Source organism: Homo sapiens, chromosome 10 (assembly GCF_000001405.40).
Source record: "Homo sapiens chromosome 10, GRCh38.p14 Primary Assembly".
NCBI classification, from domain to species: Eukaryota; Metazoa; Chordata; class Mammalia; order Primates; family Hominidae; genus Homo; species Homo sapiens.
In genome coordinates, this window is record NC_000010.11 from 132,883,657 (window position 1) to 132,905,514 (window position 21,858).

The 21,858-nt window shown below is 52.5% G+C and overlaps 1 protein-coding gene across 17 annotated transcripts in view, besides 5 other annotated features; it reads right to left on the reverse strand.

Moving 5' to 3' along the window:
* The window catches only part of CFAP46 (cilia and flagella associated protein 46), a 134,179-nt gene that overhangs the window by 75,265 nt on the left and 37,056 nt on the right, over positions 1–21,858 (reverse strand). For all 17 annotated transcript variants that reach the window (XR_007061969.1, XR_007061970.1, XR_007061971.1 and 14 more), the window contains exons 23-27: positions 15,879–16,010; positions 15,303–15,465; positions 8,677–8,761; positions 2,165–2,303; positions 1,447–1,630 (exon numbers count right to left, since the gene is read on the reverse strand). Coding sequence is in view for 14 of the 17 variants with exons in the window: in NM_001200049.3 (NP_001186978.2) it covers positions 1,447–1,630; positions 2,165–2,303; positions 8,677–8,761; positions 15,303–15,465; positions 15,879–16,010 (703 nt within the window). In the remaining 3 variants the exon portion in view is untranslated. The remainder of the gene's footprint in view (positions 1–1,446; positions 1,631–2,164; positions 2,304–8,676; positions 8,762–15,302; positions 15,466–15,878; positions 16,011–21,858) is intronic.
* Positions 4,962–5,490: an enhancer, noted in NCBI's record as "H3K27ac-H3K4me1 hESC enhancer chr10:134702122-134702650 (GRCh37/hg19 assembly coordinates)". NCBI's record gives its function as "activates a minimal SCP1, AML or CMV promoter by ChIP-STARR-seq in naive H9 embryonic stem cells {active_cell/tissue: H9 hESC(naive)}" and the evidence as "EXISTENCE:reporter gene assay evidence [ECO:0000049][PMID:30033119]".
* Positions 8,311–9,510: an enhancer, noted in NCBI's record as "MED14-independent group 3 enhancer chr10:134705471-134706670 (GRCh37/hg19 assembly coordinates)". NCBI's record gives its function as "activates an origin of replication core promoter dependent on BRD2, BRD4, P300/CBP and CDK7 cofactors, and independent of MED14, by STARR-seq in HCT116 cells {active_cell/tissue: HCT116}" and the evidence as "EXISTENCE:reporter gene assay evidence [ECO:0000049][PMID:35650434]".
* Positions 8,311–9,700: a biological region, named in NCBI's record as "MED14-independent group 3 enhancer GRCh37_chr10:134705471-134706670".
* Positions 9,200–9,700: an enhancer, noted in NCBI's record as "H3K4me1 hESC enhancer chr10:134706360-134706860 (GRCh37/hg19 assembly coordinates)". NCBI's record gives its function as "activates a minimal SCP1, AML or CMV promoter by ChIP-STARR-seq in primed H9 embryonic stem cells {active_cell/tissue: H9 hESC(primed)}" and the evidence as "EXISTENCE:reporter gene assay evidence [ECO:0000049][PMID:30033119]".
* Positions 20,724–21,224: an enhancer, noted in NCBI's record as "H3K4me1 hESC enhancer chr10:134717884-134718384 (GRCh37/hg19 assembly coordinates)". NCBI's record gives its function as "activates a minimal SCP1, AML or CMV promoter by ChIP-STARR-seq in naive H9 embryonic stem cells {active_cell/tissue: H9 hESC(naive)}" and the evidence as "EXISTENCE:reporter gene assay evidence [ECO:0000049][PMID:30033119]".

Below are 21,858 nucleotides of genomic sequence, written 5' to 3' on the forward strand. Positions count from 1 at the left end.
GGGAGCAAATGCTGACCACAGCATTCCTCACAGCAGGCAGACAATGGGAAGCAACACAAATAGCCATCTGTGGACTGTAAGACACATAACGGAATACGACTCAGTCCTAAACGGGAATGATGGGGATGGCCCTGGGCGATGTCATGCTGCATGAAGGACCACGTAATGCTTGGCTCTGTTTACAGAAAATGTCCAGATCTGTGGCTTGCTGGGGCCAATGGAGGGAGAGAAGGATGGGGAGTGAGTGCTGATGGATGCAGGATTGCTGGGGGGTGATGAAACCTTCTAAAATTGTGTGTGGGTGATTATATAACCCTGAGAATTTACTAAAAACATGTTGTACCTCTAACAAAGACAACTGAAGGAAGGACTCGGGTAAGTGAAGACAGAAAACACTTTCAAGGGTTTCTGCCCCGAGGCCCAGTGCAGCTCAGCTGGGTCCTGCCTTCCCCAGCCGCCCGCAGCCTCCCCTCCTCAGGCCCTTCCTGCTTTCCCTGGAGGCAGCCAGGTCCCTGCCTGATACCCGCGAACCCTAGCAGGGCAACTGCCGAGGAACGACGTGGCCTCTGGTTCCCCGGAGCGAGGAGCAGTGGCTCCCTGTGGCTCCCCACGGTGGTACCCAGGCGTCTGCCTTGATCACCCAGTGCCCTGAGCCGGCACTCACACAGCACCGTCAGAGACCCCCAACCATCCTCAGTTCCCGATGCCAAGGGCCCCCTGGACCCCAGAACAATCCAAAGGCCTCGGGGCAGGATTGCTCTGAGCCGGAGAAACAGCTCGTGTAACAGAAAAGCCTTTTAAGATCTTCACTAATGTTGAAAGGTTCATGCCTTTCACACCAGGGGCCTGGGATGCCTTTTCGTCCCCAAGATGAAGTTCTCAGGTGCATACCACATGGCCCTTGCCCCTGACAAGCAGAGGCATCAAATCAACGCCAAAGCACCCACCTCCTCCTGAGCCCACCCCAAGGGGAACGTCCATCTCGCCTTCCTGGGGGTGGGGAAGAGACGCCAACATCCCCAGAACGCCCACATCCCAGGGCCCTGCAGAGCCCTGCTCTCCTGTGCAGCCACCCGCCCATCGGGGCCCCTGCCTGCTCTCCTCTGCAGCCACCCGCCCATCGGGGCCCTGGTGCCACCAGGGGAGCCTGGGCGCTTCCACTTGGGGCATCACCCTCTGGGCCCCCCTCACCCTGCTCAGGGACGAGGACCTGACCACGACCCCTCCATGCTGGAAAGGGACCACTGAAACCAGCTCCATCCCTCGTCCCTGACTGGTCAGCAAGAGGAGTGCCCGGGGCCACGCGGTGCATTCTCTGTGCCCGTCAGCTGTGGCTGCTCTGCGTGCTGCCCCACACCAGGTCCCTGCTGAGCTTCTGTCCACACGGTTCTCCCTTTCACTAAAGGACAAATTTTACCACGTGCACCCACGCTTACGGCTTCACACCTGCAAGGCCTGGATGGCGTTGTTGTAGCAGGCCAGCTCTCCAGACACGCTCGGCGAGTTCAGGGCCAGGCGGTGCCACATGCGCGCCAAGTAGTCCTCACTCTCGGCCTTGAATTTCTGTATTTCCATCGAAAAATTCTGCCCGAGCTTGGCCTTCACGATGACCATGTGCTTGAAGATCAAGCTAAAGAAAGGGAAGGTGAGAAACCAACGTCAGGATCGGGTGGCAGAATTTTAAACGTGGGTGATGCAGCCCGGACTTATTCCTCCACCTCCAGCTTAAAAAGACGAAGCAAAGCAGAGCCCAGGTGAGCGGGGGTCTCGGGGCTACGCGGGGGTCTCGGGGGTGAGCGGGGGCCTCGGGGCTATGCAGGGTTTTCAGTCCCCGCTCTCCCTGTGTTGAATTCTCCTGGGGAAGTCAAGTCTTCCAGTGCAAGTGGGAACCTGGGGAGGCCCAGGCAGAGGGGGACAGCGTGGAGCAGGGGAGCACACTCTGGGTGGGGGAGCAGCAGGCAGGTGCTCACAGGTGATGGGGGGAGCACACTCCGGTGGGGGAGCAGCAGGTGGTGGGGGGAGCACACTCCGGTGGGGGAGCACACCCCCGGTGGGGATGCAGTGGGTGGAGCACTCACAGGCGGTGTGGGGAGCACTCACAGGCGGTGGGGGGAGCACTCAGGCGGTGGAGGGAGCACTCACAGGCGGTGGGGGGAGCACTCACAGGCGGTGGGCCGTCCTTGGCAGCACCTGCACAGCCTCGTCCAGCACCTTGAGGCCGCCCTCCCAGTCGTCCTGGTCGGCATGGCTGTGGAAGAGCAGGCCGTAGAGCGCAGCACGGAGCGCCAGGTCGTCCTCAGCCCCTGGGAGGGAGAAGGAGGGGTGTCCTTGGAGCCGCCTGATCCCTCATCAAAGGCGCCCTCGGACCTCCCAGACTAAGCTGCCCATCACAGTGCCCCTGAGGTGGAACCGCGGCTACAGAGGTGCCCAGGCCAGCGCATGCCCCGCAGGGCTGAAGTGAGCTGTGGACCTGCATGGCCCCTCCAGCCCCACAGTGGCCACCCGGGATGCCCTTTCCGTTGCAGGAAGCAGCTGTCTTGTCTCCTTGCTGCCTGTCACTCTCCATCTCCTTGGAGAATTCTGCGTTCACAAACACAGACCTGTGTTTCCACGTATTAAAGATTGGCGAGCAGGACTTGGGGTCCTTTCAGGAGTTGCATGGAAAGCTCCCCCGCGGCCGAGGACACAGCGCCACGTGCACGCTCGGGAGTCCTCATGCTTGGTGCCCGCAGCACGGGAACAATCCCCGAGTCTCCACGCAGGCAGCGGAGCCATGTGACACGCAGAGGCAAAGGTGCCTGCCTTCAGGGCACACACAAAAATCGCCTGCCTGCCGGGAGGTGAGCCCCACCCAGCCTCCATAGGGCGCCCTGTGGGCCATCAGTGCCCCCAAATGCACGAAGCCAGCAGGGTGGATCCTGGTGGGATGGAACCCTCAGTGTCTGGGCGAGCTGCAGATGAACTTGAAGGGCCCTGAAGAGACGGGGTGAACACAGGGCCGCATCCCTCACACATCCCCAGTGAGCACAGAACCCAGCCCACTCTGCCACCTTCCGGCCAAGAGTCCTTTTACCTCAAGGATTCCAAGAGCCCCGGGAGATCCAAAACATCAAACCAAGGCCATGGAGGCCCCACCTCGGGAAGGGGTGCTGAGTGGCGGGTCTGTGCCTTGTTGCTGCCCCCGACCCAACACAGCCATGGCGACTAGAATGCTGACGCGTCCCCTCCCCGTCATGGGCGCTGCCCAGCCCAGCCTGCACACCCTTCCCCTGACGGTAATTCCCACACCCTCCCAGCTCTTTCAGAGGTCAGTGAAGGATCTGTCTTCTCTCTTTTCTCTTCTCTCTCTCTCGCCTCTCTCTCTGCTCTCTTCTCTCTTCTTTCTCCTCTCATCTTCTCTCTGGCCTCTCTCCTCTCCTCTCTCACTTCTCTCTCTCCTCTCCTCTCTCCTCTTTCACCTCTCTCTCTCCTCTCCTCTGTCCTCTCTCACTTCTCTCTCTCCTCTCTCTTCTTTCCTCTCCCCTCTTCTCTCTCTCCTCTCTCCTCTTCTTTCCTCTCCCCTCTTCTCTCTCTCCTCTCCCCTCTTCTCTCTCCTCTCTCGCTTCTCTCTCTCCTCTCCTCTCTCCTCCCCTCTTCTTTCCTCTCCCCTCTTCTCTCCCCTCTCTCCTCTCTCGCTTCTCTCTCTCCTCTCCTCTCCTCCCCTCTTCTTTCCTCTCCCCTCTTCTCTCTCTCCTCTCTCGCTTCTCTCTCTCCTCTCCTCTCTCCTCCCCTCTTCTTTCCTCTCCCCTCTTCTCTCTCCTCTCCCCTCTTCTCTCTCTCCTCTCCTCTCTCCCCTCTCGCCTATTTCCTCTCCTCTCTCTCTCCTCTCCTCTCTCCTCTCCCCTCTTCTCTCCTCTCCCTTCTTCTCTCTCCTCTCCTCTCCCCTCTTCTCTCCTCTCCCTTCTTCTCTCCTCTCCTCTCTCCTCTTCTCTCCTCTCCCTTCTTCTCTCTCCTCTCCTCTCTCCTCTTTCACCTCTCTCTCTCCTCTCCTCTCTCTCTCCTCTCCTCTCTCTCTCCGCTCCTCTCTCTCTCCTCTCCCCTCTTCTCTCTCTCCTCTCCCCTCTTCTCTCCTCTCCCTTCTTCTCTCTCCTCTCCTCTCCCCTCTTCTCTCCTCTCCCCTCTTCTCTCCTCTCCCTTCTTCTCTCTCCTCTCCTCTCCCCTTCTCTCCTCTCCCTTCTTCTCTCTCCTCTCCTCTCTCCTCTTCTCTCCTCTCCCTTCTTCTCTCTCCTCTCCTCTCTCCTCTTTCACCTCTCTCTCTCCGCTCCTCTCTCTCTCCGCTCCTCTCTCTCTCCTCTCCCCTCTTCTCTCTCTCCTCTCCCCTCTTCTCTCCTCTCCCCTCTTCTCTCTCTCCTCTCCCCTCCTCTCTCTCTCCTCTTCTCTCCCTCTCCCCTCTCCCTCTCTCATCCCAGGAATAAGCTTCAGTGAAGCCTCGTCTGGAAAACTCTTTGGATCTCAAGTCAATTTCTGCTGCATCGAGCGCCCGAGAACCATAGTGGGCACCAATGCGGGCTCCACCCCGTCTAATGGTAGCGGGTCTTGGGTTTTCCTGGCTGTCTCCACACCCTGCCACCCCTCACCTGGCTCCCATCCTGGGTGCTTCCATAGCCTGTACCCCTGCCACCTTCACCCCTGCCGCCTGCACCTGCCACCTTCACCCCTGCCGCCTGCACCTGCCACCTTCACCCCTGCCGCCTGCACCCCTGCCGCCTGCACCCCTGCCGCCTTCACCCCTGCCGCCTGTACCCCTGCCACCTTCACCCCTGCCGCCTGCACCTGCCACCTTCACCCCTGCCGCCTGTACCCCTGCCGCCTGCACCTGCCACCTTCACCCCTGCCGCCTGCACCTGCCACCTTCACCCCTGCCGCCTGCACCCCTGCCGCCTGCACCCCTGCCGCCTGCACCCCTGCCACCTTCACCCCTGCCGCCTTCACCCCTGCCGCCTGCACCCCTGCCGCCTGCACCTGCCACCTTCACCCCTGCCGCCTGCACCTGCCACCTTCACCCCTGCCGCCTGCACCCCTGCCGCCTGCACCTGCCACCTTCACCCCTGCCACCTTCACCCCTGCCGCCTGCACCTGCCACCTTCACCCCTGCCGCCTGCACCTGCCACCTTCACCCCTGCCGCCTGCACCTGCCACCTTCACCCCTGCCGCCTGCACCTGCCACCTTCACCCCTGCCGCCTGCACCTGCCACCTTCACCCCTGCCGCCTGCACCTGCCACCCCCACTGGCCCTGCTGTGCTGCTTGCGGGTCTCTGGGCCAGGTCAGGAAGGCTCCCGCCTCCACCCACCCTCTGGAGCCTTCTCAGACTACGCAGCCCCTCACGCCCTTTCTCTTTTCAGAAGTCTGGTGCTTTTCTGTAATTTTAAAGATAAACAGTATGACCCCAAGGAAAGACAAACCCCTTTCTCCCAGCGCCCTCCCCCAGCACTCTGCAGGCCACAGTGCTGAGGGCTGGAGTCCGTGTCATCCTGCACCAGCCCCGTCATGCTATCAGCAGGACCCGCCTCTGGTGCCAGCACCTGGACCACCGAGGCTTACGTCACAGAGTGTGGAGACTTCTTTCCCTTCTCTGACTCATTTTTCATGAGACTGCATTCTCCAGAGCCGACCGGCTGGGTCTAGGGAGCAGAGGTGCCCATGGCTGGAAGGAAGGCACCCATGGCTAGGAGGGCGGCACCCCATTGGATGCTGGGATCTGTGGGCTCACTGTGGCCTTCACACTCTGCCAGGCCCTCCTCACCCAGGCACTGGCCAGAGAAGCGGGTCTGCGTCTGAAACTTGGGAACCCTGAGCCCTGCTTCCTCCTGCTTGAATTCATTAAACCAGGGTCCAATGAACTTGGAAACCACACATAGGGTCGCAGGGAGTCCTCTTCAATCCTGCCTAAGTGGAGGGCTCACTTTGAGGTGTGACCTCCTGATTGACCCACAGCCATGTCCTGGGACCACCCAGTACACATCCAATTCACGGGCGGAGGCACTGCAGCCGGACCCCACCCCTCATGCATTCCTGTGGACCGTCTCCTCCTCCCCGGAGGCCGTCAGCTCCATGGTGCCTCCGGGTGGGTGAGGGCCGTGGACTGTGCATGAGGAGGAATGTGCCTGTGCTGAGCTCTGGGCCTCGTGTTTCCACAGCACAGCATGGCCGTCCCGCCTGATTAAAGTATTGATGCGGCCTGGACGCTAAGCATTTAGCTGCCAGACGTGGTGTGAGTATCTTCCCGTCTGTTCACTTCTTACTGTTCTGCACTTATCAGGATTCAGGAGCGTACATTTTCGTATCTGTGAAAAGTGCTCCTTTCCACAAAATCTCTGCTATGCTCAATTCTACTTTCTGATTTTTTTCTAGAATTTGAATTTTTAAAACGACTTATTCGACCTGTCTGATGTTTATTTTGGTGAAAGGAGTAAAATATAGCGTGGCTTCCAGGTTCTGCCCAGAGGCACAAAACCCCCCTCCACAGCCTCCTCTGCCCGGGTCACATTCTGAAGGGGTCTGGGCTGCCCAGAGGCACAAAACACCCTCCACAGCCTCCTCTGCCCGAGCCACGTACTGAAGGGGTCTGGGCTGCCTTCTGCCTCCCCAGTGCCCTGATCCACATCTCTGTCCTCGTGAAACACCCCACAGGGCTGACAAGAATCACATGCCGGGTTGTGGACAGAAAGTAGTTATGACTGAGCAGTAACCAGGCTGCACCCTGGACACATCCTTGCTGCTAAAAGTCACTTGGACCCCCGTCACTCCTATGATGGGCCTCTGACGTCAGAACCCTAAGGCTTTGGTTGAAGGATCACTTAGGATATTTTTCAGACCCTGAATGCCAGCAACCAGTGCGGAGTCCCCCCCAGAGGAGCGGGTAGGGATTGGCCCAGGAATGCCTTCCCAAGACCCTGCGCTCTTCCACACTTCCGTCCTCTCCAAAACCCTCGAGACCCCTATCCCCAAACTCCTCAGGGAGGTGGGTCTGAGGCTGTATCCCCATCTCCTGCTCAGCAACCCTAGGATTAACCCTTCCTCTGCTGCAGCCTAGCCTCTCAGTGGACGGACTTGCCGTGTGCGTCGGGCTCATGCCTGCAGGACCAGCAAACCACACACACTGCTGGGGTTAGTACTCACCTTAGTAATTACACATGGCCACACTTTTGTTTATTATTTTAAATCAACTTTGCTTCTCTAAATAGACTCTAATGCTCAAGGTAGGTTCCACTTTTCTATTCCACAGCATTTAAAGATTTCCCAAATACACCTTAGGACTCTTAACAGGGATAATTTTTTTTAGCAGACAATTTTTTTTCTATAAACATGAATTGGTATTCTAATATGGTTCTATTGTTCTGAAGTCAGTATGCGTTTTTGTGTGTTTGTTTTTGCAGGAGTGTGTGTCCACGTTTTTTGTGGAAGTAGAAAAATGCGATTTATCTGTGAGCACAGCCTAGAGGCCAGACTTCGCGGCAGCCACGACCAGGGGGACAGTGCCCACTCTGCACTCAGGGGTGTGTGGCCCTGGACAAGGTTCATGTAAACCAAAAATAACATTCTAAGCCCCCCAACCGACTGAATGGGCCCTCCTCTCGGCCAAGGGCCTTCTGAAGTATGCCTGAAAAACGAGTTTGGTGGGGTCGGGGGTGGTAGGGGGCAAGGGTGGACAGGCCTCATCATCCCCTCTCCCTTTGGAGCTCAGGCACAATGGACCAGCATCCACATGAAAACAGAGCTCTTAAGGCTGACAGAGTGGACGCTTTGTAGCCGTAAGACACCAAGTTCCAGCCTGACTCTAGCATAGCATCGCATGACAGATAGCAGGCCTGAAAGAGATCCAAGTATTTCATACCCAAGTATCTTTCTCTGACATATTTTGAAGGGGCCCGCACAGCTGTCTCTTGTGGGGAAAATCCACATGCTGTGGAGAATGCCCTTTTCCCTCTCCAGGGCTTTTCCCTGAGCCAGGGGAGAATTAACCAAGAGTCTGGTGCCTTTTTGTCTGAGAAGAGCTCGGAAGCCGGCTACCTGGAGGCTTCATCTGCAAGATAAAAACCTTGGTCTCCACAACTCCTCATCTAAACCCAGACATTCCTTTCTATTGATTCCAGGTCTTTAGATAATAACTCTTTCAACAAATTGTCAATCAGAAAATCTTGAATCTACCAGTGACCTGGAAGCCTCCCCTCTGAGTTGTCCCACCTTCTGGACCAAACCAATGTGCACCAGACATGCATTGATGTCTCTGCCTGTAACTCCTGTTCCCCTAAAATGTACAAAATCAAGCTATAAACCAACGACCTTGGGCCCAAGTTCTCAGGACCTCCAGGGGCTGTGTCACGGGTCATGCTCCTCACACGTGGCTCAGCATCAATCTCTTCCAATAGTTACAGAGTTTGACTGTTTTCATGGACAGTCAGAAGGTCCCGGCTCTGGCTTCATTGCACGTTGAAAGGGAATTTCATGGGCTCATTCCTGAAGAGCACTCAGGCGCCTGGCATGCATCAGATGCTGAACAGACATTATCTGGAGTTACTGCCAAGTGGCTTCACGTCAGGGCATGGGAATTTAAAAGCACCACGTTTAAAATTGGCTCAAGTCCTTCCCTTTCCTTGTACCTGGAGCCTGTGGGTCTGTCTGTCCTGCTACAAACCTGGAAGAAAATATCCTTCGGTCGTCCCGCCACCCTGGAAGTCGGCCGTGGGCCACTGGTGCAGAAGCAGCGTCTTTCCTTTCTCCTAAAGTAACGCAAGTAAACGACACGTATATTTGAAAGTTGCAAGACAGTCTTTCACCATGAGATAAGAAACTCCCCCTCTGAGCTCTGTGTTCCTCTCCTTAAACTGCTTGCTATTGCCATAAGCAGCTGTAAATTAACCTGACAATGTTGTACCGGCCACTATTGCCAAATTCTAAAGCTTAACAATCTACAGCCAATTAATAACTTAAGTTATTTTAATGTAAATTTTTGGCAAACAACTCAGGAACTGCCTCTTAATTCCCTTTAAAAACCCACTTGGAACTGCCTCTGATTGGAGTGCACGTTCAGCGCCGCTTGAATCGATGCTTCCGGATTACAACCGTCAAACTTGGCCCAGGTAAACTCTCTATTTACACCAGTTTTGCCTCAGCTTCTTCCTTTTAGGTTGACACCATTTTGCTTTTCATTTTGTTATAGTAGGTAGCTAGTCAAACATGAGTGGGGCAGGAGAGGCCCCCCGCCCCACACCAGGAACTTCAGGCAACCATCAGGTGATGGTCAGGCAGCTGTTAACTGTCTCTCTAAAATAATAACTGGTCTCAGCCAGCACCAGGGAAAGGCCATCTCCCAAGAGACATAAAAAACCTAAAACTGGTAATGAGTAGCTTCCCGATAAGATCTCAGGAGTTGGGTGAGCGGGCTCAAGCACGCACACTGAGAGGCAAAATGGCGGAGTTTCACTGGTCTATGACCTTCCTCTAGGAACACCGTGACTGGTAAGGGACCACCTCAACTGAGCACGTGCAAAACTCCAGTAAACACACTGGGCATGCGGCCCCTCCCAAGTGCAGGCAGCCACCGTACACGTGGACAGTCCACTGCAAGGGAAGCATCTGGGGAGAAATCATGCAATACGCTGGAAGTCAGCCAATGTATTGAGACAGCCAGGTGGGAAGGGGTCCCCAGAGAATCTCTGATCAGCTGCTCACTGGGAGGAATGTGCACTGGGGTGGAGCCACAGAGGCTCACGCCACTTGCAGCGGGGAGGAGCCTGGCCCCTCCTCCTCCTGGGTGAACCTGGGATTCATTTGGTGAGGTGGGAAGTGCACTGGCAGGAAACACTCTCTCGCTTCACTAAGAGTCTCTGTTTCCCTTTTTTCTTCCTTTCTACCCAATAAAATCCTGCCTTTCTCACCCTTCAAATTGTCTATGAGCCTCATCTTTTGTGGCAATGTGACAAGGACCCCGTCTTTAGCTGAACTGAGCAAAAGTCCCGCAACAGTGTGAGACCCCCAAGTCAAAGGTGAGCCATGCACGTGATCTCTCAGGTCTCCCGCTCGGCCTCTTCCCAGTGTACTTTCTTTCCTGTTCTAAAGCTCTTTGATAAACTCTCACTCCTGCTCTAAGACTTGCCTCTGTCTCTCCTTCTGCTTTATGCTCCTCAGTTGAAGTCTTTCTTCTGAGGAGGCAAGAACTGAGGTTGCTGCAGCCCCCTGTGGGTTTGCCGCAGGTAACACGCTTTGAGGTTGCTGCAGCCCCCTGTGGGTTTGCCACTGGTAACACACTTTGAGGTTGCTGCAGCCCCCTGTGGGTTCACTGCTGGTAACACACTTTGAGGTTGCTGCAGCCCCCTGTGGGTTTGCCACTGGTAACACACTTTGAGGTTGCTGCAGCCCCCTGAGGGTTCGCCGCTGGTAACACGCTTTGAGGTTGCTGCAGCCCCCTGTGGATTTGCCGCTGGTAATGTACTTTGGTGGTGTGTGACTCAAATATATCTGCTGCTAAGAATTTGGCTCTATCTAGTTACAGATATTGCAGCTAAATTTCTGAAATACTAAGTCACAAAAAGTCTGCAACTGCTCCCCTAACATAATTGAGAGCTTTTTCAATGACATGGAACATCTAAGTTGGTTTCATGGCTCTAAATCAATGTGATGAAAAGCACATTAGATAAAACTTACGGGAGGCAGTGAGAGCCAATCTCAGAGGGAGTTCACCACTGTAAATGCTGTATTAAAGAAGGATCTCAACTCAATAATCAACTTTACATCATAAGGAACTAAAACACTAGCAGAAGGAAGGAAATAATAGAGATCAGAGCACAGACAAAAATAGATAACAGAAAAACAATAAAGAAAATCTACTGTTTAAAAGTTGGTTCTTCAAAAAGATCAACAAAATTGACAAGCCTTTAGCTAACTGACAAAAAAAAAAGAAAGACTATTCAAATAACTAAAATAAGTAAGGCAAGTGGAGACATTACTACCGACCTCAGGGAGATAAAAAGGATTATAAGAAAATCCTATGAACATTTGCACACCAACAAATTAGATAATCTAGAAAAAATGAACAAATCCCTCCAAACACACCCAGACTGACTCAGGAAGAAATAGAAAATCTCAACAGACTTATAATAAGAGATTAAATTAGTAATCAAAAGCCTCTTAATAAAGAAAAATCCTGGACTATATGGCTTCATCAGTGACTCCCATCAAACATTTAAAGAAGCATTAGCAACAATCCTTATTGACTCTTCAAAAATTTAAAGAAAAAGAAACACTCCTGGGTTCACCCTATGAGGCCAGCATTACTCTGCTATCAAATCCAGATAAAGACATCACAAGAAAAGAAAATTATAGATCAATATCCCTTATGAATACAGGTGCAAAAATCCTCCACAAAAGATTAGCAAATGAAATCCAACAGCATATTAAAAAGATGACTTATAATGACCAAGTAGGATTTATGAGAGATGCAATGGTGGCTCACTGTGTGCAGATCAGTCAGCGTGATGCACAGTATTCAGCATTAACAGAACAAAGGAGAAAAACCACACAACCGGCTCAATTGACAGAGAAAAGGCATTTGGCAAGACCCACACTATTTCATGATAAAAACTCTCAGAAAACTAGAAATAGAAAATTCCTCAACATGATAAAGGGTCCTTATGGAAAGACCCACAGCTCACGTCACATGCAATGGTGAGGCTGAAGCTCTCTCACTAAGACCAGGAACAAGACAAGGCCACTGCTTCCACTGCTGCTATTCCACCAGAGGCTCTGGCCAGAGCTACTGGACAACAACAAGAAAGAACACGGTGAGAAGGCAGCCAGGCTGTGTGTGCTATACTGGAAAAGAAGAGGTAAAACTATCTCTATTCACAGATGACATGATCCTATACAGAGAAAATTCTTACAAATCCACAAGAAAACTATTAGAGCCAATTAATGAATTCAGAAAAGTTGCAGGGCACAAGATCAACACACAACAATCAGCTGTGTTTTTATTCACCAGGAATGAAAACTCCAAAAATGAAATTAGAAAGAAAGTTCTATAGACTGAGCTGTGTGCCCCCAAAATTCATATCCTGAGACTCTAACCCTCACTGTGGTGGTATTTGGCGACAGGGCCTCTGGGAGGTAATTGACGTTAGATAAGGTCACGAGAGTGGGGTCCTCACAATGAAGTTGGTGCACTTTAAGAAAAGACACCAGAGAGCTTGCTCTCTCCTTCTGTGTGCCACATGAAGACACGGTGAGAAGGCAGCCAGGCTCTGTGTGCCATGAGACACGGCGAGAAGGCAGCTAGGCTCTGTGTGCCATGAGACACGGCGAGAAGGCAGCCAGGCTCTGTGTGCCACATGAAGACACGGTGAGAAGGCAGCCAGGCTCTGTGTGCCACATGAAGACATGGTGAGAAGGCAGCCAGGCTCTGTGTGCCACATGAAGACATGGTGAGAAGGCAGCCAGGCTCTGTGTGCCACATGAAGACACGGTGAGAAGGCAGCCAGGCTCTGTGTGCCATGAGACACGGCGAGAAGGCAGCTAGGCTCTGTGTGCCATGAGACACAGTGAGAAGGCAGCCAGGCTGTGTGTGCCACATGAAGACATGGTGAGAAGGCAGCCAGGCTGTGTGTGCCACATGAAGACACAGTGAGAAGGCATCCAGGCATTGATGGCCAGGAAGATGTTCCTCACCAGAACCCAGCCACGCTGGCTCCCTGATCTCAGACTTCCAGATCCAGACTTTGATAAATAAATTAAGCCATCCAGTCTATGGTATTTTGTTATGGCAGCCCAAGCTAAGACAGAAAGCATTCCTGTTTATAACAGCACCTTAAAAAATTAAATACTTAGTAATAAATCTAACCAAAGAGGTGAAAGACTTACATGCTAAAAACTATAAAAGGTTGCTGAAAGAAATTAAAGATCTAAATAAACAAAAAGATAGACCATGTTCATGGATAGGAAGCCTTAACATTGTTAAAATGTCAATACTACCCAAAGCAGTATTCAACGCAATCCCTATGGGTTACAATAGTCTTTTTAAAAATATATATAATTTTAAAAAATGATCCTCACATTCATATGGAATTAAAAAACTGATCCTCAAATTCATATGGAATTGCAAGGGGCCCCAGACAGCTAAAACAATCTTGAAAAAGAACAAAGTTGGAGGACCCACACTTCCCAACTTGGAAACATATGACAAAGCTACAGTGACTCAAATAGCATAGTGTTGGCAAAATGATACCATACAGGCCGGTGAAATAGAATAGAGAGCCCCAAAATAAATCCCTGCATTTCTGGTCAAATTATTTTCAGCAACAGTGCCAAGACCATTCACTAGGGAAAGCACAGTCTCTTCAAGTGGTGCTGGAAAAACTGGATATCCACATGGAAAAGGCTGATGTTGAACCTTTACCTAATACCATATGCAAAACTTAACTCAAATGGATCAAAGATCTAAACTTAAGAGCTAAAGCTACAAAATTCTTAGAAGAAAATAATGGAGAAAATCCTCATGGTATTAGATGTAGCAGGACCAGGGATATGACACCAAAGACACAGGCAACAAAAGAAAAAATAGATAAACTGAACCTCTTAAAAATTAGGAACATTTATGCATCAAATGGCATGATCAAATGAGTGAAAAGTTAACCCAGAGAATGGGAGAAAATACTTGCAAATCAGGTATCTGCTGAGGGATTAATATGCAGGCTCTGTCCTGAGGCTCTCTGGCATGAACCTCCGTCTGCTACGGCCCTCACTGTCCGTGGGCTCTCCCTTCACAGGCCCCGCCGCACACCGCAGGTTGGTAGGAACCGCATATCTAGGTCAGCCAGGACTCTTGGTCACAAGCAGTAAAAATCTACTCTGGTCTTCCTGGGCAGCCAGAAAATGTGCTGGGCAGCGCCAGTGGGAGGCTAAGCCCTGGGGCCAGGAAGCTGCATCTGGCCCACAGGATGGCCATGTGTGGGTTGGCAGGTTGGCAGGTTGGCAGGTCGGCAGGCCAGGTGGAGCAGCCTTGGCTTGCCTCCGTACTCTCCAGTCTGGCTCCAGAGGCAGCTCTGCACAGAGCTCAGACCCAGGCTTCCTGGGGGAGCCAGCCGAGGAGGGTCCCTTTGCCTAGACCACACTGGATGAGGAGGCAGTCCCCCGGAGGAGGCCAGCATGGGGAGAGAGGCTGGGGTGGGCTGGACAGCCCAGAGGCCCCGACACAGCCTTTTCAAAGTCAGGCCAAGAAGCTGCCTTGGGCATGCATCTGAGGATCCAGCGCAGCGGCTTCTGTAGCCGCACCCACTGTCTCTGCCTGCTGTCTGGTGCCCCACTCCCGTCCTCCTCCTCCCACTGGAGCTTTGGGTTATGCAGCTCTGCTTCTCTTAGAAGGGCCCCGTTTTGTGGGTTCTCTGTGGCTGACTCCTGATTCCTGGTTACAGCTGAGGCCAGCAGAAGAGAGCTCAGAGTGGGCTGGTCTGGCTCAGCCCTGGTCTGGAGACTGACCCCAACCCGAGAGTCTCAGCCTCTTTCCAGGAGGAGCGGGATGCCTCCCCATCTCCCAGCAGGGAGCTGCATCCACAGACCTGTGAGCCAGGAGCACGAAGCCTTCACCAACTCCAGCGCCTGCTCAGGAAGCCCAGTCCACAAGGCTGAGGCTTGTCCTGCCAGTCTGTGCCCAGCGAGAAGCTGGCCAGGCTCCTGCTCTTGGAGAGGCCTGCAGGACCACTCCAGGACCCATGCCTAGCCTCCCTCCAACAGCCCTAGAAGGAGGTGCACTCTTGGGTCCACTTGGCCCCTCTCCTTCAACCGTCCTCCCTGGGTTGCCCCATCCCCTGGGCCTTGGGGGCTCCACTCCCCGCCACCCCACTCTGCCTTAAGCCGCCAGAGGCACCTGTGGCCCAGCCCCCGCCCCCTGCCCTGCCCTCTGCTTGCTGTTCTCAGGGCCACCCTCTCTCATGGCAGGTGGGGCCTGTCCTCCCTGCCTAGAATCCAAGCCTCTTAAGGCAGGGACTGTGCTGGCCTCACTCTACCCGCTGCTGTGTGTCTCCAGGGCTGAGAGCCCCTCGGTGCATGTGTGTTGCTGGGAGAGGTCAGGTCTGAGCACCGAGTCCAGCAGGGGCCCCCGCAGTGCTGGGACTTGGAGACCCCCCTTAACCCCCTCCCCTCCTCGGCTGGTGCTGGTGCACCCTCTGGGAGGCCTGTGGGGTCTGTCTTTCTTTGGGAGTCTCTCCGGTCCTTTCTGGAAGACCCACTAGAGGCCTCAGTGGGAGTCAGGAGCCCCCTCCAGGGCTGGTGCACCTGCTTTCTGGCCTCTGTCTTGTTGATGATGCCGATGAGCCTCTTCAGGGCACCCTTGGCCTTCTTCCTGTAGACGGCTGAGGACAGCAGTGGGAGCCAGGCGTTCCAGTAATGCCGCGCGGCCAGCATCACCAGGGCGCTGCTGCCCGCGATGCCTCCGAACCTAAAAGAGGGCAGGTCATGACGCGGTGGCTCCACCTGGGCCCACCTGGAGCTGCTGGACCAGGAGGGACAGGAAGGTCGGGCGCCCAGGGCCCAGCCACACGCTCGCTCCCTCCTGGGCATGTGGCTTGCTCAGGAGTCCCTGCTGCATCCTTTCCAGTGGGCCTTTCTGGGCAGCACGAGGTCAGACCCCCACCAAGGCCAGGCTGTAGGAGCCCAGGTGGGTACAAGGGCAAGAGGGGGCCGCTGCACCTCCCTGAAGACTGTGCCCTGAACTGGCCGCACCGGCCACCTCCCCTCGCCGGCAGGAGCCCTCCCTTGGGCCCACAGGATGGGCCACAGCCTTGGTGAGCACAGGGGTCCCGCACGGCCGGGGAGGGACAGAGCCCACCCCAGCCCCTTAGAGCCACACACCTGGCGCTCTCCGTGAAGGCCTTGGCTGCCACCAGTCGCAGCTGCTTCCGGCCCTTCAGGTTTTCCATGATGCTCCTGCCCTGGATGGCCGTGGCTGTGCACAGCATCTCTGCCACCAGCCGGGACTCCTCGCTGCAGGAACAGGGCCAGTGAGGAGGGAGGCCACTGTGGCCCACCTTGGGTCCTCCCTCCCTGGGTCACTGTCTTGAACTGTGGACTACACAGGTGGTATTCTAAGATGGGGCACCTCCTGGCCCACAAGCACATGTGCACAGGGCTCCGCCCTCCCCGAATCTGAGTCAGCTTCAGGGACTTGCTAGACTGCAGGGATGCAGGGCAAGGGGCTCCTGGTCTTCTGAGGCCTGGAGTGCCCACGTGTGGCCTGGGTGCCGGAGACAGCCGCCCTGGGAATGCTCTCAACCACGGAGCTGGCAGTCACATGGCAAGGGTGGGAGTGGGCTATGGGGACATCCAGCTAGTGGACCCTCAAGACTGTCACCCCAGCTGACTCTCACAGTAACCTTATGAGCGACCCCAACCCAAAACTAACTAGCTGTGTCCAGTCAGCCCCCAGAACCATGGGGCAGAATCATTAACTGTTTTTTTAATGACTAATCTTTAGAGGGACTTGTGCAGCAACAGATCCACAGAACCAGCCCCTCTTTTGGGGCCTCTCCCCTCTAAGAGCCCTGCTGCCCAAGCCCACATGGAAGTCTGGCCCCAGAAGGTCCACTCTGCACCCAGAGCTTGGCCAGGTGCACACTCCTGGGTGTCAACAGCAGCATCAGCTCCACGGCTCCTCATCCCTGGACGTTCGCTGCTCCAGGGCTGCCGTGGCTGGGGCTGCAACGCCACACACACTAAGGCAGGATTCTCGCCATGGATGGGGGAGCACGCCCTTGCGGCTCAGCTCAGAGGAGGCACCAGATTTATTCTATGAGAAAGATGCTGGCTCACGGGTAGACTCCCCTCATGGGCCAGGGTCCCAGAGCCAGGAATCTGCTTGCAGGAGCAGACAGCCACTTCTGCCCCTCTGTCCCAAAGGAGTCAAAGGAGGAAGGCGCTGCCCCTTGGCCTGCATGGGCCTGCAGTGCCCAATGCAAGCCGGTGGTCTGAAGCTGAAACCACCTTCTAAGGCGGGCATGGCGACCTAGGCAGGGCAGGAAGGAGAGTTCAGTTTCCTGGGTACTGCCGTCCTAAACATTTTGATCTGGGTTATGCAGTTGTTGAGTGTTCCATAAATGCCAATGAGTGAGGTCTGTTCCTTCCATCTGTAGCCTCAGTGACTTCCCCCCTACTTTGTTCTGTCAGCTGCTGAGAGAGGAATGTTAAAATCTACAGCTAGAATCGTAGACGTATCCATGTTTTACTTCCTGTATTTTCAAGCTCTGCTATTAGGTGAACACACATTTAGCATTTTTATGTCTTCTTGAAGATTGAATCCTTCATCATGAGGAATGTCTACCTCGGATCGCGTGCCTGGGCCGTTTAACCGGACACCAGCTTTCTTGTGGTTGGCACTTGCAGAGTGCCTCTCTCCCATCCTTTTACCTTCAATCTGTGTCTATACATTTGAAGAGGGTCTCCCGTACGTAGTTTATCATTGGGTCTTGCTCCTATGTTCTGTATCTGTGTCTTTACATTTGAAGAGGGTCTCCTGTACGTACTTTATCATTGGGTCTTGCTCCTATGTTCTGTGAGATAAACTGCATTTTAACTGCAGTGTTGGTTCGTTTACGTTTAATGGAATGACTGATATGGGTCAAATCCACCATTTGGTCCTTGCTTTCCTTTTGACTTACATGTTCTTTGTTCCTTTCTTCCCTTTTTTTGCATGAATGGAATATTTTTTAGTATCCCAATTCATATCCTCTATTAGATTTTTAGTTACATCTCTTTGCTTTATTCCATTTGTTAGCATTTGCTCTAGGGATTGCAGTGTGCATCCTTCACCAACCACGGCTCTACCTCACCTGAGTCCTACTCCACGTCACGTGTGGCACGAGGGCCCTCGGAATCGCTGCCTCTCAGCCCGCCCTGTGTGTTTCCACTGCCCTGCATCTTGCCTCTATATTTATGAAAAATCCCACAATAGGATGCTATTTTTGCTTTAAAAGGTCAAGTGTTTCTTGAAGAATTTAAGAACTGAAAGGGAAAAAAGTCTTTTATGTTTACCCCCAAATTTACCATTTTTGGTGTTTTTCATCTCCTCTAGCATGTCCTCTTCTGAGGATCTGCTGGGAATGGATCCTCTTAGCTCTTATTAATCTTAAAATGTCTTGATTCTGTCTTCATTTGTGAGGACTATTGCTGGCGGATATAGAATTCTAGACTGACAGGTTTTCTTTTTTTAACACTTAAAAACTGTCATCCTTTGTATTCTGGTTTGCATCATTTCTGATGAGAAGTCAGCAGCAGCTCTTGCCCTGGTTTTCCTGTATGCACAAATCCGTCCCCATGCTAACTCCTTTCCAGGATCTGCTCCCGGTCTTTGGTCTTCAGCAATGTGACTACAATTCCCCCACGATGGAGCCAGGTGTGGTTTTCTTTGCGTTTATCCCACTTGGGATTCCTTGAAAGTCTTGGATCTCCAGGTTGATATTTTTAATTCAACTTGTAAAATTTTCAGCCATTATGTTTTCAAACGTGTGTATTTTGGCCTCCCCCTGCTGCCTCTGTCCTCCTGAGACTCCAGTTACACTCAGGTTAGACCCCCTGCTATGGCCCCACAGGTCACAGACGGAAAGCTCTGTGGCCCCACGGGTCACAGACGGGAAGCTCTGTTCATTTAGTTTCTCCGTTTTTCTCCCTGTGCTTCGGTTTTCATAGTCCACTGGCCTGGATTCGAAGTTACTGATCATTCTTCAGCGTCCAGCCTGATGATAACACTCTTCCAGTGGCGTTTGCATTTCAGACACTTTATTTTTCATTTCTAGGAATTCCATTCAGTGATTTTATTATCGGTTCCATTCTTTATTGAAATTCCTGTCTGTACACTAGTTATTTCCATTGAAAATCTGATTATATTGACAGTAGCTGTTTTCAACTCCTCATCTGCTCATGTCAACATACACCACAGCTGGGTCTGTTGGCTGTTTTTTCTATTCTACTCTTTTCTTCCTGGTTATGAGCCACATTTTCTTGCTTTTGCACACATCTAGTAATTTCTTACTTTATGCTGGACGTCGTGAGGGCTCTGCTGCTGAAAGTGTGGATTGTGTCCACTTCCTTTAAAGAGTGTTGGGTTTTGTTCTGACAGGCAGTTAATTACTGGTGGCTCAGCTTCATCCTACTGAGATGTGGTTTAGGCTTTGTTGGGGTGAGTCTGCACTCACCCCATTGCTAAGGTGTGTCTTTCTGAATGCCTGGAGTTCAGTGAGTTACGCCCCAATGTGAGCTGGCCACAGCTCCAACTTCTCTCACCCCATTGCTAAGGTGTGTCTTTCTGAATGCCTGGAGTTCAGTGAGTTACGCCCCAGTGTGAGTTGGCCACAGCTCCAACTTCTCTCACCCCATTGCTAAGGTGTGTCTTTCTGAATGCCTGGAGTTCAGTGAGTTACGCCCCAATGTGAGCTGGCCACAGCTCCAACTTCTCTCACCCCATTGCTAAGGTGTGTCTTTCTGAATGCCTGGAGTTCAGTGAGTTACGCCCCAATGTGAGCTGGCCACAGCTCCAACTTCTCTAGCGCAGGATGGCCTCTGGCATCTTGTCAGCGTACAGACCCCTCCATCCCTGTTTTCTGCCAGGCCTGGAATCTAGTCCTGTGCACACACAGTTTACCACCAGACAGGCACAGACTCATGGGTGGCTCCACAGAACGAGGGCCCCACCCCACCTGCCGCGTCACATCCTGGACACCTCAGCTGCTACAGCCTCAAGCCCTGACCCATTTCTCCCCGCGACTCTTCCATCCATCTGGGCCCAAGCCCTGACCCGTTTCTCCCCGCGACTCTTCCATCTGGGCCCGCTCTCCAGGCTGCAGCATGTGAAGCTCCCTTAGGCAGAATGCGGAGCCCACTTCCGATATTTCCTTCTAGCAAGAATGGCTGCCTGGTACTGCCTGCTGTCCAACAGCTAAAAACAACTGTCTCACGTATATTTTCAAGTTTTACAGTTTTTCTTTTTCACAGCACAAGAGTACGATACCCATTATGCTTTCAAGGCCGGAACTAGGTGACTTTTAAATTTATATTATTAACAACATTAAATATAAATATATTACACATAATAAATATATGATATGTGAATATATATAAAATCACTGTTGGTGATTACGTTAAATAAAAATGTTGAGCTGAGTTGGAAGGTCCAAATGACACTCTTAAGACTATTGTTCTTTACCCATTTTGTGTGTATTTTAATAATCTACATGAAATGTATAATATATATTCCTTGACACTAATAGCATAAATGCGAAACTGATTTGGCAACCACACAGTCACAATTGAGAATATGAACTCATTCGTAACTGCTGTACTTTTCACCAAGAACAGAAAGCCATTTTTGCTATTAGTGTAAAATGCTATCATAAAAGCTACTCTGTGGCAAATTCCATGCTAGAGTTTCTACACATAATTTTCAAAACGGAAAGAAATTAGAATGAAGAACTGAAATATGTGTAAACTTTTTAAAGTATCTCTTACAAAGGCTGGTCGTCTGCTGGATGTGGGCATGGGTCCTGCTGGACTGGGGAAGGGCCTGTGGCTCTGACAGTGACCAGCGAGGTGACCACATCATCTCCTGCTGAGCAGCACGCCTGCGGGTTCTCTCCAGTCTCCTGGCACCCAGGCTGCCTGCACACAGGAGCACCCACCTGCGGTTGGTGGAAAGGCGCCAACACTGCGCCCAGGGCAGAGGGGCTCCCGCTGGGACGCAATGACACCAAGGGCCACTAGAGGACAGCAATGGTCCACAAAGGACTTTCCAAAGTCTTAACGTGGAAATCCAATTTTTCCAGTCTCATATGACTTCTCCTTTTCCCTGTCACCATATGTTTAAATTTACAGCTTTAGCTAATTTAACAGAAAAAATGATTTTTAAGTCAATTTACACAGCAGTGGCACGGCCAGGGCGCCCAGCCCCCACATCCTCCTGTTGTGTGCCGCTCTGCCCTCCACACTTGGGGAAGTAATTGTAACTCAGTTATGAGGAGGCTTTATGCAGCAGCACTCTGCACCCTCACCTCTATGACGCTGTCTTTGTAGTTTATTTCTCTTAGAAATAATGTTTGTTCTGTTTTGTTTGGAGACAGAGTCTCGCTGTGTCACCCAGGCTGGAGCGCAGTGGTACAATCACGGCTTGCTGCAGCCTCGACCTACAGGCTCCTTACGAGGGTGAATGCAGTTCAGCTCACTCAGACCCCCTGCAGCCCCTTCCAACTGACTTGTGTGGCCAGTGACCGCATGACACTTAATCCCCACCTATCACCTTGGCACCTACGACGTCACGCCAGCCTCTCATCTTCTGGTCCCCACTGTGACCCTGGTGACTCACCTTCCCGGTGAGGACCACAACACCCACGCTTCCCTTAGCTCGTCCTTCCTGCTCTACCAGCATATGTTATCTGCGCTTTTCCTTCACTTTTGTATTGTCAAAATCAATCCTTTCCTTTTGTCAAAATGCTTCTTTCTTTGTCAACAAGTTAATCCTAAAAGTGGAATATCAGTGAACACCATGTTTCTCATTGGAGAGTCCGGCTGTAAATGACTTGGTTTCCCGGACTCTCTAACTGGTGTACGCCTCTGAACTGTCCCCATCCGTCCTATGAGGGACTCTGTCTCCCCGCCCTCCCCAGGGTCCTCCTGAGCCACCCAATGCAGTCAGACAGCTCTCTCCGCACAGCGTCCATCTGGGGACAGCTCTTGACTACCTTTCTAGGTTGAATCTGTTATTTCTAGCATCCCACATATCTTTCCTTTTTTTTTTTTTTTTTGGTTTACTTCCTTGTTTTTCTGGATCATATCCTCAAGAAACTTTCTA